Source organism: Homo sapiens, chromosome 6, assembly GCF_000001405.40.
Source record: "Homo sapiens chromosome 6, GRCh38.p14 Primary Assembly".
Classification (NCBI taxonomy): domain Eukaryota; kingdom Metazoa; phylum Chordata; class Mammalia; order Primates; family Hominidae; genus Homo; species Homo sapiens.
In genome coordinates, this window is record NC_000006.12 from 139,976,761 (window position 1) to 139,992,206 (window position 15,446).

Below are 15,446 nucleotides of genomic sequence, written 5' to 3' on the forward strand. Positions count from 1 at the left end.
TTGCTTTAATTAGAAAGAATTTAAAATATACGATGATGTCTTAGGTATGTTTATTTTTAGTGAGAATTGATTTGGTTGCTTTGTTTTGTTTTGAGATAGGGTCTCGCTCTGTCACCCAGGCTGCTGGAGTGCAGCGACGGAATGCAGTGGCACGATTTCAGCTCACTGCAACCTCAACCTCCTGGGCTCAGGTGATTCTCCCATCTCAGCCTCCAAAGTAGCTGGGACTACAAGCAGACACCACCACACCAACTAATTTTTGTATCTTTTATAGAGACAAGGTCTCAGTTTACTGCCAGGCTGGTCTCGAACTCCAGGCTTAAGCCAGCCACCCAAAGTGCTATGATTATAGGTGTGAACCACTGTGCCTGGCTGTTGTTGTTTTTAGTCATGAAATATTCAACTTTGTCCAGCCATCCTGGGCTACTCTAACAACTGTAATTGCTTTATAACTACTTAGCTATGGATTTCTGGAATCTGAAATTGAGGCCATAAGCAGAAATGACTAAAATATAGAATTCTTTCTCCTATCTTTATTTGTTCATCTAGATATTGGAACTGTATCATTAAATTTAAAGGGGGGAACTAGTATTGACAACAAATTAAATTATTTCAACCAAAACCACTTAATAGGTATGTTGACTGTTAGTCATTACCAAATCAGCTAAGAAAAAATAGTTTTATTTCCACTTTGTTGATTCAACAAATAATTTTCATATTTGTAATTCATATTGACAGTCACAGATTCCTAGGATCTCTATTAACAGATACCTCGTTTGTGCCTGTGATTATTTCTTCATCTGTGCCTGTCTTTGCCCTTTCCTAGCTGAATGTCCTTGAAAAAATCATTTGGCCTTTTTGTGTCTGTTTCCTCATCATGAGGTGGAAAAATACATAGAGTCAAATGTGTGAGGTTGTTTCCAGAAATTAATTTAAGTAAGCACTTTGAATACTACCAGACCATAGTAAGTTCTATGATGATGACGACAGATCCAGTTGAGAGCTCATTTGCTGGCAGCATCCTAAATAACTCTGCTTCATGGAAGAAAGGCTCTGTAAATACCAAAGATTAAGATCCTTGGTTTAAGACTCAAGGAATCTGTTTACAAGGTAAGTAAGCAAGAGAACAAAAACAAAACATAGTTTATACAAGGCCCATTCAATCACAATCTTATCTTTTCAATTTCAAGTCTATCCCCTTTAAGTTTCCATGACATAAATATCAGCTGACATACACACAAGGTGACTCACCTTCTTCCCATTAAACTAGGTTGAGATTAAAAACAAACAAGCAAACAGCTGGAATGTGGCACGTGGGTCAGACCCTTCTGAGTCCAGTTGGGTAACTCAGCAGAGATCAGAATGATCTTCAAAAACCAACAAGCCATTGGCACGTATCTTCAGGCATGCTTGAAGTCTATGGGGCCAAATGGTAGAGTATCCTGGCAGAGCCAAAAAGTCTTCTTTTATGACACAGAAAAGAAAACTTCTTTCAAAGTAGTTATGCAACCCAGGAGAACACAATGCATCCACTGTGTGTGTCCTGGGGCTGTCTATGAACACATGATTTCATATTTTTGTCCTCTGTAAACTTCAGCATTGATGATGAACATTATTTCAAGGAAATATCCCACTACTTTATCTCTGTAAAGACATCCATAGAGAATGTAAGTTATAATTTCCTTATTCATTTTTCTGGTTAGAGAAGGCATTTCTATTTTAATGGTCAATTATTATATTCTGAATTTGCCACAAGTCTCCTTTTCATATTTAAACACTAGGGTTTTTTTTTGTTTGTTTTTTAAATTCTTAAGATAAATAGAAAAGTTAAGGTTAGAAAATGTTCAAAACAATTGCTCACCTTATAAAATCTTGTTAGGGAAGTAATTTTGCTCATTTCATACTGTTGACATTTCTGAATTTCAGTAATCATTAATTTTTTTAAAGCTGCCAGCAGATATGTACAATACTCCTTTTAGATATTATTCCCATCAAAGACAGATTTCACCTCTTTCACTCTTTGTGTCATTTCTCTATTATTTTGAAAATATTACTAATGCCTTCAAGTTCATTTGTATTCTGTAAGATTCTCCTTGTATCCAAGCAACTCCATCTGAAAAAATAATTTGTTTTTTTTAATGAGAGATATATTCAAAACAAAACCCTGCATATATTTATGATTTTTTGGTAATAATTTTCATGATACTAATTTCCTGGAAAGGGATTTGCACTTCACGAACAAACAGTGATTTCCTTTGAAACCTTCTCTGGTCTATGTCACCACAGTTATCTAAACAATTTAGATGTCCCTTTCTTGACTAAACTTTTAAAAAATGTTGATTCTGTTCTGTTTTTAGAAATGATACACATCATCAGATAATTTGTAAAACAGAAAATATATTAAAAAATAAAAACTTCCTTAAATAACCATGGGATAATCAAGGTTGTAGTAGACTGCCAAGTGAGTTATAAAAACTCCAGAATTATGTCAGAATTAGACAGATAACCAAAGAATCTGTGGGGCACTTTGATGAACTCAAGTGAATCCTTATATTCATCTTTACTGAGAAAACTGTTGGGAATGATTTCACTTCCATTTTTTTAAAAATATAAAGCATATCCTTCAGAGTGGCACATGCAGAAATATTTTTTATGCGTGTATATTTACTGTTAAGTACACAATACGCCTATGAGAACAACCATAGCTAATAGCTTTAAGAACTGTGCTTGGGGCGAAGGGAAGGAATGTGTGGCTGGAGACTTAGTTTGGCATGACTGAGAAGCACCCAAGCGGAGTAAGGACGGGTGTGTCGGCTGCAGCCAGGCGGCAGTTCTGGTACTTCTCAGTCATGACATTTGGGGTCAGGTAACTGAATCCTCATCAGCAAAAAGGGGATAATAGTAGTAATATAGCTCTCATAATATTGTTACAAGAATTGCATATACTTATATTCACAAAATAAGTAAAATGTTTTGAACAGTGTCGTGAAGTTATGTCCTATGCAGGTATTTTACTGTAATTGACTTTATTTTTGTTTTAGAGCAGTTTTGGGTCCACAGGAAAGTTGAGTGGAAAGTAGAGAGTTTCCATATCTCCCCTGCTCTCACACATGCTCAGCCTCCCCCGTGATCAACATTCCCCTCAGACTGGTACATTTGTTTACAATGGGTGAACCTACGTTGACACATCATTGTCACCCAGAGTCGAAGTTTACGTTAGGCCTCTCTCTTAGGTTGTACATAATGAGTTTTGACAAATGTATGATGACATTCATTTTAATAATGAAAATGGTTTGGTTGTTAGGGACTAGATTGTGACACTTTTGTTACAAACCTGAAGAAAGTCGGGAGATTGTTAGTGAAATCCCTTTCTAGAAGAAAATTATAGAAAATGTGCCGGGTCTGCAGGCTGGTAGGTCCCCCTCCAGTCCCTGAACTGCCCACTGGAAGTTATGATGAAGACAGTCACTTGTTGGTTAAACTTGCATAACTTAATGAAGGAAAGAAAATATGGTTTCTGTAAGAGGACATCCTGTAACTGGACCATGATGGTTCTTTGTAAGGTCACGATAAAGGGAGAAAGAAGTGGAAAAAATTTAAACTTTAGAAAAAGTAAAAAATCCTCATGTAGTAAAGATAAAATTTTGCTGTCATGGTATCTTGTAGGAGGCGCCAGTGACATTTTGCTGAATTGCTTGTGGTGAATTCTAAGAAAAAATAAAAGATATTACTTTGAAGAAAAGGGGAATGCTAGCATGGAGCTCATTGCCTGGAAGGAGAAGAGGCTGAAAACATAAGTAGAGAAAAATCAATTTGGGTAAATTCATAAATCATTGATTTAGAATTAATGTATAGAAGACAGAGTGGGTAGGCTGGGAGCAGTAGCTCATGCCTATTATCCCAGCACTTTGGGAGGATGGGGTGGGTGGATCACTTGTGGTCAGGAATTTGAGACCAGCCTGGCCAACATGGTGAAAACCTGTCTCTACTAAAAATACAAAAGTTAGCCAGGCATGGTGGTGCGTGCCTGTAGTCCCAGCTACTCAGGGAGCTGAGGCACGAGGAGAATCTCATGAACCCAGGAGGCATAGGTTGCAGCTGAGATTGCATCACTGCATTCCAGCCTGGTTGACAGAAGTGAGACTCTGTCTCAAGAAAAACAAAAGACAGAGTGGGTTATTTGCAGCACAGTGTAATATCTGTACAAATATAACCAATGTCTTTATCTTTCATGTAGATACCTCTCCACAGGCTACCACGTGAATCTCCAGTCAGCTGGAGCAAAGCCATATAAGATAGGCCTAGTTCAGACAGTGTTCTAAAAAGAAAACTACCAACAAAAGGGGCTTGGAAAGGTTCCTCGGGATATCAAAAATCAAATTAGCTTATTCTACTGTAATTGCTTATTTAAAATGGCAGAATCCCCCCTAGAATTGGAAATGTTCATTAATTTATTCAGCAAATATTTACTGAGCACCTACTACATGCCAGGTGGTCACAAATTTAAAAGTAAGCAATATAGACAAAGCCTATGCCCTCTTCTAGCTAACAGAAAATAAATACTGGGTGAAAGAATAAAAGAGAATTATGTGCATGTTACACACTTGACAAGCATAAATGTATGTAACAGCTTTGGAATGTTCTCTGATGAAGTTCTGATATACCTTACCCATTTTTCTCCATTAAGCATGTGGTGAAGACACAGCCTGACTAGTAAGACTGTCTGTGTTCTGATATAATCTAGGTTTCTTTTCTTGTATTGACCAGAAGGTGTGAACATGTGTTGCATGAGTTGTGTATATTTGTGTGTGTGTGCATGTGTGTGTGTGAGAGAGCATGCACACTTTTGTGTCATGCTTCTCAAAATGTAGCACATGAACTGGAATTGAAGAAGAATTAGAGCTTTTGATTACTATTTGGATTATTTTCTTGGTCTTTACATATGCAACTGTTCAAGGCTTAATATAAGTTTGGTCTTTTTAGTATAATGTTGTGTAGGAGGCTTTGCTTCCTTATAATATGCTATGTGACATGAGGCTCATTTGCTTTCCCTATTATCCCAGGAAATGCTAGCATCTTTCTTGTGAGTATTCTGTGTCCTGGGTTTCCTACTGTGCTGCAGTGTAAAGAGAGTAGGGCAATGTAAACTTCTTTGAGAATCACTTCCTGACTGATTGGCGTCTAAGAAGAAACACGATCTGGAGCTTTGCACAGCACCAGGACTCTGCCTGTGAAACACTATTAAATCTGCTATTACCCTCCCTTCCGCCCTTCCCCCAGGACTCTAAGGTGACGTTCCCACTTAACTCTTTCATGCCCAATAGCACGTAGGGCACACTACCAATGTCTGCAATGAATCATATGTTTTCAGAATAATTATTTTGATCACTTATATCCTTTCTTATTAAAAATGTCTGTGCAGTTCTTAAAGAGGAAAGGGGTGAGGGAGGAAAGCTGCAATTTAGAGGAACTGTGTAGTTGTTTTTCTTTCTTTTATTTAATCGTCACATTTAATATTTCCTTATAAGTCACATTTTAAAGAAAACAAACCCAAGGCTCAGAGAGGTCAACTAATTTACACACATGGCATGGCTAAGAAGTGGCAGGGGCTGGATTAGAATCAAGGCATTTCTGACTCAGAGCCAGTGATTTTTCTACTACATACAGTAAGTTCCACCAAGTGGAAAATTAAGGTCTTAATAATACCAGCCAAGAAACACTGCATTAATTATAATGAATGTTTTATGCAGGGTAGTTTTTGGGTCTGAATCATGGCATTGTTGCCATACATTTTTTATTTTATTTATTTTTTTACTTTGTGTGGAGACATCAGGGTTTATTAACCACTGCATCCAAGACTGAAGATCAGATAGTTAAAAAAAAAAAGATGATATTTGAATGTGTAAATATTTGTTTTAGAATACACGGAGATAGTCTTTTTTTTTCTGTCTTTCACCTAACCTTTCTTCCACATTTTTTTTTTTATTGAGGCAACAAATTCCTTCCTCCTTAGATCCCTGCCCCACAACAACCCAGAGCCCAGAACATAAACAAAGACACATTTGGAAGCTCCTGCAGAGAGACCTATATCCAAGATCAGCAGATCCTGCAATTTGCTATTTCCTCCTCCCCCCTCTCCCCAGATGCAGGCTTATGTAAGTCTCCCTGAGGCATGTATGGTTTTAGGGAAAGGATTGAAAACTGTGCCTGGTGCTGTTAGTATTAGATGGCTGTAAATGAATAAATGGATAATAACAGTTAGGCAGCTCACTGACGGTATTCCAAGTATTAATAAATGAGTGCAATTGACACAGTTTGACACCAACACTTTGGAATTTATGACATGTAAAAAGGGAGAATATGAATCTGCCGCTTTCAACTTTTTAATATAATTGGGATGCCTGAAGCCATTTTACCATCTGTAAGCTTCCCGTATTAGCCCTGATTTACTCCTGAATGTCCACAAAGCCTGGGACTTCATATAAAAGTTTTGAAAAGAGTTTAGCATTGTAGCTTTTCTTTTAATATCTGAAACTTGTTATAGCATGTGCTGCTATTTCCAGGCAGTTTAGTGTCATTAAAGCAAACACCATATAAACCTGACTTCCTATTTTTAACATTGTAGAATTCTATATTAAGTGCCATGAACAAAGAAGCACATCAGATGAATACTTTTTCCTTTAAAATGAAAAACTCCCTTAACCAGGATGTTCAGAACCTTCCCAAAATGGACTTGTTTTCAGCTTGTTCATCTTTTCCACCTCCCTACTGCTTTTTAAAAGTTTCATGTCCATTTTTGGTGACAATTTATTATTTGAAGTCATCTTCCAAGGGCAGGAAATATCTTTGTAGAAAAGAGTCCGAAATTAACTTCATGTGCAAAACAAACGTATCACAGAACAGTAGAGACAGTTCCTAAGCAGATTGTGTTCTAAAAGTTTGCCTAAAAGAATGCTGTTTGGAGCCTGGAACATATTTTTCATGGAAACACTATAGATGGCTGTTAAGTTCTAAGGTCAGTGATTGAGGCCATGTGACCTGTGAAGTAATTGGATCGCAAAACTGCATTTTTAAAATACCACTTTGTGATAATTTAGGATATTATTTTGGTAACGTCACACATTATAACATGGAATCTAGAGCTACTGCATAGCATCATGAGCATGATAGTTTAACTAGGTTCCAGTCACACTGATCTCCTTGTTATTGCTCAACAAGGAGTGAGGACTGTGGTATGGGCATACAAATTGGGAGAGCATGTGTGTTTAATGATGACTGTAGTCTGTGCAAGGATCAAGTCAATATCAAGTCATGCAGCTTGGAGTACCTCCCCCTCCCACTTTTTTGATGTACATGTTTAAGTAAGAGTCTCAAAGTGTCAACATTTTTTGTTGGGTCTTTGTTGTGATTCATCACCATGTGATCCTGAGGCAGCGGATGTCTTGATAGGAAAATATTGATAGTGCACAGCTGGTACATTCCTTCCCCACTTTTACTTGAATTGCCCTGTGCTTCTCTAGGGTTCCCTGCACCCTCTTTTTCTCTCCCTCTCTTCCCACTTAGTGGTAGGGTCTAGGGCTGTAGAACACACCAGACAACTCATCTTGATTTAAGCAGACTACTTAGGGGGTTCTGATGGATACTGAAAGGCGACTCACTGGACTGGAACGTGTGCCTATAAAAGGTATCCTGGCCCCTATTGCTTCACCAACAATCAGCTAATTTGTTGTTGGCCTATTCCACCTTCTTCATTTTCCACTGTCATAAATTCTTTGGCTGCTGCGACTGAACATGCTGGAGAGCGACCTTTCTTCTCTTAGACATTCTTGTAAAGATGTAAGCCCGGTTCAGAGACTGCTTTGGTCCCACTTCATTACTTGTAGGTTCCTACAGTAAAAGACCATTCTTTCCTATATTTGCCATCTTCACCGTTTATACTCAAGATGGTGGTTAGAAGCCAGACAATAGATAATGAAAAGAATGATAAATCATTGAGTGGTTGAAAACTAACGCAAATATTTGATTACATTTCTAGCTGTAGCAAATCAGCAAATCTCAATTCCTGAGTAGGTGAAGTTTGAATTGCCCAGGTGAGGAAAAGCAGGCTACTGAGCACTGCTCTGGGAGTCGGATCAGTAGGAGCCTGATCATATCTCAGAACAGGGCAGTGTGAGCATCAGAGTTTGTGGAGAAAAGGGCAAAGTGGAAAGATATCTTACTAGGTTTTCAGCCCCTTTTGACTTTTAGAGGCAATTCAGGTGAGGGCTCAGAAAGAAAAGAGGAAAGCTGGGGAGAAAGCTCCATAGTTTTACAGAGCACATAAATAATCATGTAAAGGATGTTAGTAGAAATACGGATGTTCAGGATGATTTTGATGAAACTTCAGACAGAAATGAGTTTTCCCAGAGGTCTCTTTGAAAGACTCAAGGCTTCTCCCTTTTGGTCATGTCTCAGGTAGTCTTAAAGCACTCAGAATCCAGCATGTCAGCAAAGAAAATTTATGGCTATTTTACCAATCATAGAGACAATTTAAGTAAAGAGGAGTCAATTAAGCATTTGTAATATTTGCTTTTTAAACTGTGGCAGCAAAATCATTTTAGTGGATAACAATTCACATTAAAAATAGAATGAAAAAATAGAACATAATAAAATATATAAAAGTTTTGCAACTTAGATTTATTTTATGGGTCTTTTATTTCCCTCCTTTCCTCCCTCCCTCCCTCCCTCTCTCCCTTCCTTCCTTCCTTCATTCCTTTCTTCCTTCCTCTCTGTCTTGTCTTTTTCTTTCTTTCTTTCTTTCTTTCTCTTTCTTTCTTCCTTTCCTCTCTCTTTCTTCCTTTCCTCTCTTTCTTTCTTCTTCTTTATTTCTGTTTGTCTCTCTCTCTCTCTCTCTCCTTCCTTCCTTCCTCCCTTCCTACCTTCCCTCCCTCCCTCCTTCCTCTCTCACTCCTCTTTCCTTCCTTCCCTCCTTCCTTTTCTCTCTTTCTGATATAAATTTGTATTCTGGGTCATGATGTGTGATGGTAAATTTTATGTGTCAACTTGACTGGAACACAAGATGTCCAGATATCTGACTAAACATTATGTCTGCATGTGTCTGTGAGAGTGTTTCTGGAAGAGACGGCATTTGTATTGGTAGAATGAGTAGAGCATATGGCCCTCCCCAAGGTATGTGGGCATCATGTAATTTGTTGAGGGCCTGAATAAAACAAAAAGATGAAGAAGGTTTGAGTTAACTCTGTCGGACTGCTTGAGCAGGATATCTGTTTTCTCCTGGTTCTGGTGCTGCTGGTTCCCAGACCTTCAGAATCTATAGCATTGGCTATCTGACTTCCAGGCCTTCAAACTACGCCACTGCTTTTCCTGGGTATCCAGCTTGCAGATAGCAAATCATGGACTTCTCAGTCTCCGTAATCATGTGACCCAATGCCTTATGGTAATTATAATACAGTAGCCCCCCCTTATCCACAGGGAAATATGTTCCAAGACCCTTGGTGAATGCCTGAAATTGTGAATAGTACTGAACCCCACTTACACTATGTTTTTCCTGTACTTACATACCTATGCTAAGGTTTAATTTATAAATCAAGAACAGTAAGAAAGTAACAATAACTAATAATAAAATAGGCAAAGGATAACAATATGCTATAATAAAAGTTATGGTAATATGGTCTCTATGTCTCTCAAAATCTCTTATTGTACTTTATTCACTCTTCTTTTTGTGATGATGTGGGATGACAAGATGCCTGTTTCTGAGATGAAGTGAGATGAACGACATTGGTGTTGTGATGCAGCGTTTGGCTACTATTGAAAACTAATTAATAACTTAGGAATGGTTTATTTCTAGAATATTCTATTTAATATTTTTGAATTGCAGTAGGCTGCAGGTAATGAAAATCAAGGAAAGCAAAACCACAGAGGAGAGGGGACTACTGTAATAATATAATAATGATAATAATAATAATAGATTCTGGAAGAGTTTTGAGGTGCATGCTAGCAAAAGCCAATGTTTTTGTGAAGAGAGTTTTAAAGGCAACTCTAGGAAGACCTCAGAAACAGAAGAAGAAAGCTGAAGAGAGAGGTTCATCTTCTCATAGAACACTTAAATAATAGTGCAAAGAATGTTGGTGGAAATATGGTATTCATCTGCAAACCAGGAGGTTGGCCTCCACCAGAAGTTGACTTGGCTGGCACTCTTGAACTTTCCAGCTCCCTGAACTGTGAGAAGTGAATTTCTGTTGTTAAAGCCATCCTGTCTATGGTATTTTTGTTATAGCAGCCCAAACTGACTACGACACAATGTAAAATGCATCTCTTACTAAGGGTCTTGGTCAAAAAGTTAGAAAGCTATTGGTCTGCACTTATGGTTTATTTCAGATATATAAAGTTGGTCATATTTTAGACATGGGTTAGAGAAATAGGGTGTACAGATACAGATTATATTCTCTCAGGTTGTATTTCTGCAATAAGGGCTAGCCTCTTTATGGGGACAGTGGCTGATAGATTTAGGTCATGTAATTAAATGTCTAAACTACCCACAGGCATCCAGAAGATAGAACATTTATCCTGTTATGTCATGCTCTCTCTGTAAAAACAAAACTCTTTGTTAAATCAACAAGCAGCACTATTAAGTAATTAAATCATTATAAAAATAATACCCAATTAGAAAATACTTAAATAAATATACCAGTATAATTAGATACCTTCTCATTAAACTTCAATTATCTTTAGCCTAATCCCAATTTTTTTTTTTCCACAAATCAGAAGCTTTCAATCTGAATCATTTCATTTCCCCTTTGGGCTTGTCTACCATTTTTGTATTTAGCTTTCTTCTTTTATGCCTTTTTTTTTTCTCAGAAATCTTTATGGTTTTCTCTTCTGCATGACCTTTTGCTATAATCAGAACAAGAGAAATTTGAATCCCTTGTGATGGCCTTTTTCTAATAATGAGTAATTTTCTTCCATATAACTACTTTTTTTCTCTCAGTCCCCTTTGAAGCCTGAAGCAAGTATAAAAGCTAATTTGAAATTAGCATACAATTGGGTTTCTTATTAGTCTCTATAGTCATTTTTGCAGATGTATAGTTTGGCCTGGGTCGTGGACCCCCTGACAGAAAATTGCCCTTCTTTTTTCTTTTAAAGGCCCAAGCCTATATTTCTTTAGAACACATTAGAACATTGCTCAAAGCATAACATGCTGTTTAAGCAGAGATATGAATTGATATCTTCATAGTTAATGCACTTAACACTCTTCCTTTTTATTCTACTTGACTTTCAAGGAAATATTAAATTACTCTAAACACATGCCTTTCAAAATTAATGGTAAAATACTTCACGGTAAATATGTCTTGATCAAGTACAGCATTCTATGGGGAAGGCATTTCGAAATAGCATTGGTATATAGAAAATGTCAGTGAATTACACCAAGCTTTTTCTCTAGAAGATTCTTCTTGAATTATCTATATACATATTTTAACGGTGACATTTTTAGCCAACTCAATCACAAGTTCCTATATCAGGAAATTTTACCCTGGGGTCAATTTACCATCTAAAATTTTACGTGCAATGCATGAGTATTTATCTGGGGAAAGTCACTACCGTTTTTTATGACTTCTTTTTTTAATGAGGTATAATATATAACAAAATGCATAGACCTTTAAAGGTGATTTCTAAGAGTTGTGTCAATTGTATACATTTGTGTAGCTACAACTTAAAACAATACATAAAAGATCTCCATCACCCAAAGTTCTCTTCGGGCCTTTTCTAATCAATTTCCCATCCACCACCCAGTGCAACTGCTTACTGATACTTATCACTATAAATTATTTTTGTCTATTTTTGAACCTCATCTTAATGGAATCCTATAGTATATAATACTCATTAGTGTCTAGTTTCTGATTTTTTGAAATTCATCATATTATTGCTTCAATCAATAACTTCTCTTCAATGTTGAGCAGTATTCTCCCATATGACTATCACACAATTTGACTATCCTTTTATCTATTCATGGACCTTTGGCTTGCTTTTGCATATTGTAAATAAAGTTGCTATGAACACTCTTGTCCATGTCTTTTTGTGGACATTATCTTTTCATTTTGGGGGAGTAAGTAACTAGGAGTAGAATTGCTGGGTCATCAGATAGGTATTTTAACTTTATTAGAAACAGATCTGCAGCTTTTAATAAACTCTTAAAGGGACCTTGTATCCCAAAACTTAAAGTAGCCCTGCTTTTAGGGCATCTATACAAATGTTTTTGTTTGTTTAGAAATATGTTCTCAATTCTCTTTAAGCCTCAGTTACAGACTCAATAAGATGAGTGCTAGACTCTGCCTTATGCCTATAATGCGTTAGGCTATCAGTACAAGTTGAAATTATTTAAAATAGTTTTTGTAGATACTTGGATAGTAGATTAATCACAATAGCTAAATTCCACTAGAATGTAAATTTTATGAGGGTAGAGACATTTCTCTGTTCACTGCTGTAACCCAAGCATCTAAGATGCTATCTGCATGGATCAGTTCAATAAATATGTGCTAAATGGCGGAATGAAGTATCAGCCATATGTTGGGAAACATTCTAATAACTTTATATATAGTGTTTCACTTAATCCTTACAGCCAATCTTTGAGGTAATTCCTTTTATTACTCCCTTTTAAGTGGAGAAATTAGGCACAGAGAAGTTAGGCAATATGCCCCTTGTCACATAGCAAATAAGCCAGGATTTGAATACAAGTAGTTGTCCTTCCAAAGTCATAACTCTTAGCCAGGGAATGCAGAAAAACTGCATCGCTTGTGTGTCTCTTGTTTTGTTTCAAGAAGCCAAATAGCCTTTTTCTATTTGTTAATTGTATCACTTTTGAAGGAAAAGTCCTCAGGAGGAAATTCCGTGGATTGGTTTAGGATGGTGACACTCATTATCTTTCTCACAATTAACTGGACTTTTCTTCACATTCTGATTTGTTCCCATAATGAGAGTTAGGGCCCCACTTCACCTGTATTATAAATAAAAGCCATGGAGGTCCATACATACAATCCCTGGATGCTTTTGCTTTACTTTGTTTTGTTTCATTTTCACTCACATCAGGTTAAGCTGAAAGTTTTGATGTTTTTTAGAAGTAACTTTGAATCCAAATACATGATTACTGTTATAAAGCCTGCCTTGTATCGCCCTTCATGGTGTCATACAGCTTAGGACCTGGTGATGGGATGGCATTGTTTTGACAACTGTTACCTGTTCCTTATTTGTAAGTTTTTAGTAATGTGAGCTTCTGTCTTAGTCTTGTCATGACCATTGAGGTCCCTTCTAGCTAGCAGAGAGGTTGAGGACAGGCTAGTGTGTTCTAACGAACTGGCTTTGTCAACAGAGCTGGCGTTTGCTTACACTCTAAAACAAATCACCTCTCACTATCTCTGCAACACTTCCTCAGAGCTGAATTTATGCCTCTTTTTATCTTGATAGGAAAATATGAACAAAAGATTCTGATTAATATTTATCTCAATGTAGCCAAACTAGAGCCAAATACATCTCAAAATGGCACTTGTTGATGAAATCACTCCTCCCAGTTATATTTGAAGGAGATTCCCCTTCTAAGACACATGACTTCAAATCTCTCCACTGCATCATGCAATGCTCAGCAGCCTTCTGTGAGTACATTGGTGGCAGTTCTCTTTTTCTAGAATGAGCCAGAGGCAAACAAGCTTTTGAGGTTGGAAAACAGTGACGAGAAATTGGTTCATAAACCTACACTTGATAATCATCCATGCTTTTGCCACCAGTATTGCAAATTCTACGTTACAATTTTATGTTGTCTTACATCCTTTTGGCAGCATGTCTTAACCACATATAAAATAATCTGTAGCAGGAAAAAAGTTATCAGTCCTTATCTTTTTAGCTTTGCTAATAAAGATAGTAGAACTGAGATTCTGTGAAATTATGTCCAATTTTTTCCCCAAGGGTAGAAAAGCCAAACAGCCTGGAGATAATGAATATGACCCCAAATGGCAATTGTAGCAGGTCTTTCTAAGCAGCAGTCCCAAGTAAAAGATCTATGAATCAAACAAACAATTTGTATTTTAAAAGAAATTTGCTACTCCCTCTTTCCTATAGAAGAGTCCTGAAAATAAAATCAGGGCTGTTCATTTTACTTAATACTCTCAAGCACCAAGCAAGATTACAATTCCTTGCCTGCCTATGATCCCCTGTAATTCCAACTAGCTCTGTGAAAGCACAGACCTGTTTTGGCATTTCACGTTCTGCTGCTTCATCAAGGCCAGCTCCTTCACTGCAGGCTCTTACGACAGCACATACTTCTCTTAACAGCCATGTTTTCAGTCCTCGTTTCAACAGAAGACTCTAATCTTGTGATTTTTCCGATGCCATACCAAATATAGATTTTGCTGACACTTCCCTGATTTTCTAGGATTTAAAACATTTCAAACAAACTTTTGAAGCAAACGATGACAATGTGTTTTTATGCTTACATAACCCATCTCAGTTATTTCAGACTCAAGATGGAATCCTAGCCCTGTATCAAGTAGAAAACAAAACAAAACAAAAGCCAGTGAGTTGTTTTAGTCATCAGAGTAGTGCTGTTTTCAAGTATTCCGCCTCGTTCTCCTACCACATAGGTAATCAGACTAGCAAAAGTTAATATGGCTGTTTTAAATTAAAGGCATTCAGATGCTGTTTTTTTCTCGAATTTTTGAATGTGTTGTTTAACACACCGAATTTCTGTGCAGTGAAATGGAGAGACTTGATGAGAGGCTATTGTCAGCTTTAGCCTGGAGATAGAGATGTGACCAAGTATATTTTTCTCAGGTGACTCTCCCTTTATGGGGAGGACTGTGTTTAAGAACTGCTGAGAGCCAGAGGCAGAGATCTGAGCTGGGAGATTTAAGACTATGGTTGACTATACATGTAACACAAAAACAATAATTCACCAGGCATTTCTTCCTAACAACACAAACTTTAAAAGACTTAACAACAACAAAAATCAACATTTACTTACTGGATAATTTAACTTTTGATGCGTATATATAGGTTTTATGTCTAGAATTATTTAAATTTGTGGGATAAAAGGTGATACTTTTAGTAGAGTTGTCTTAAGTGCAAATAAAATTGAGCTAAAGTTCAATAAAAGTATTTATACAGCAATTTAAGGTAGTAAGTATTTTTATGTAATTGCCTTTTCTGTTCTTCCCATAAGACATTGAAGTACATCTAAATTATTATCCCCAATTTATACCTGAGACTCCTGAGATTCACTTGCCCAGAATACAGCCAATAGAGGTGTTGTCAATTTCTCTAGTTAAACCCATGATTCTCTTGGGGAGGTCATATACTAAACATCTCTGTTATATCTTCCATTTTCTTTTTTCTTGCTTACTATGTTTCTTTCAGTTCAGAAATATTTTCTTCCAACTCTCCTAAAATTAAAAATTTTAGAT

At 36.9% G+C, this 15,446-nt stretch overlaps 2 long non-coding RNA genes across 3 annotated transcripts in view, besides 1 other annotated feature; one reads left to right on the forward strand and one right to left on the reverse strand.

The window, feature by feature from the left end:
• The window catches only part of LINC02941 (long intergenic non-protein coding RNA 2941), a 117,403-nt gene that overhangs the window by 442 nt on the left and 101,515 nt on the right, over positions 1-15,446 (forward strand). The gene's annotated exons all lie outside the window — the stretch shown is intronic.
• LOC103352541 (uncharacterized) lies at positions 1,590-14,501 on the reverse strand. The gene is made up of 3 exons (NR_121624.1): positions 14,233-14,501; positions 1,862-2,113; positions 1,590-1,644 (listed from the first exon to the last, which is right to left on the reverse strand). It is a non-coding gene; the product is annotated as an uncharacterized LOC103352541 (long non-coding RNA).
• Positions 5,952-6,246: a silencer, noted in NCBI's record as "tiled region #1100; HepG2 Repressive non-DNase unmatched - State 24:Quies, and K562 Repressive non-DNase unmatched - State 23:Low". NCBI's record gives its function as "represses a minimal TATA promoter and a strong SV40 promoter by Sharpr-MPRA in HepG2 and K562 cells {active_cell/tissue: HepG2 | K562}" and the evidence as "EXISTENCE:reporter gene assay evidence [ECO:0000049][PMID:27701403]".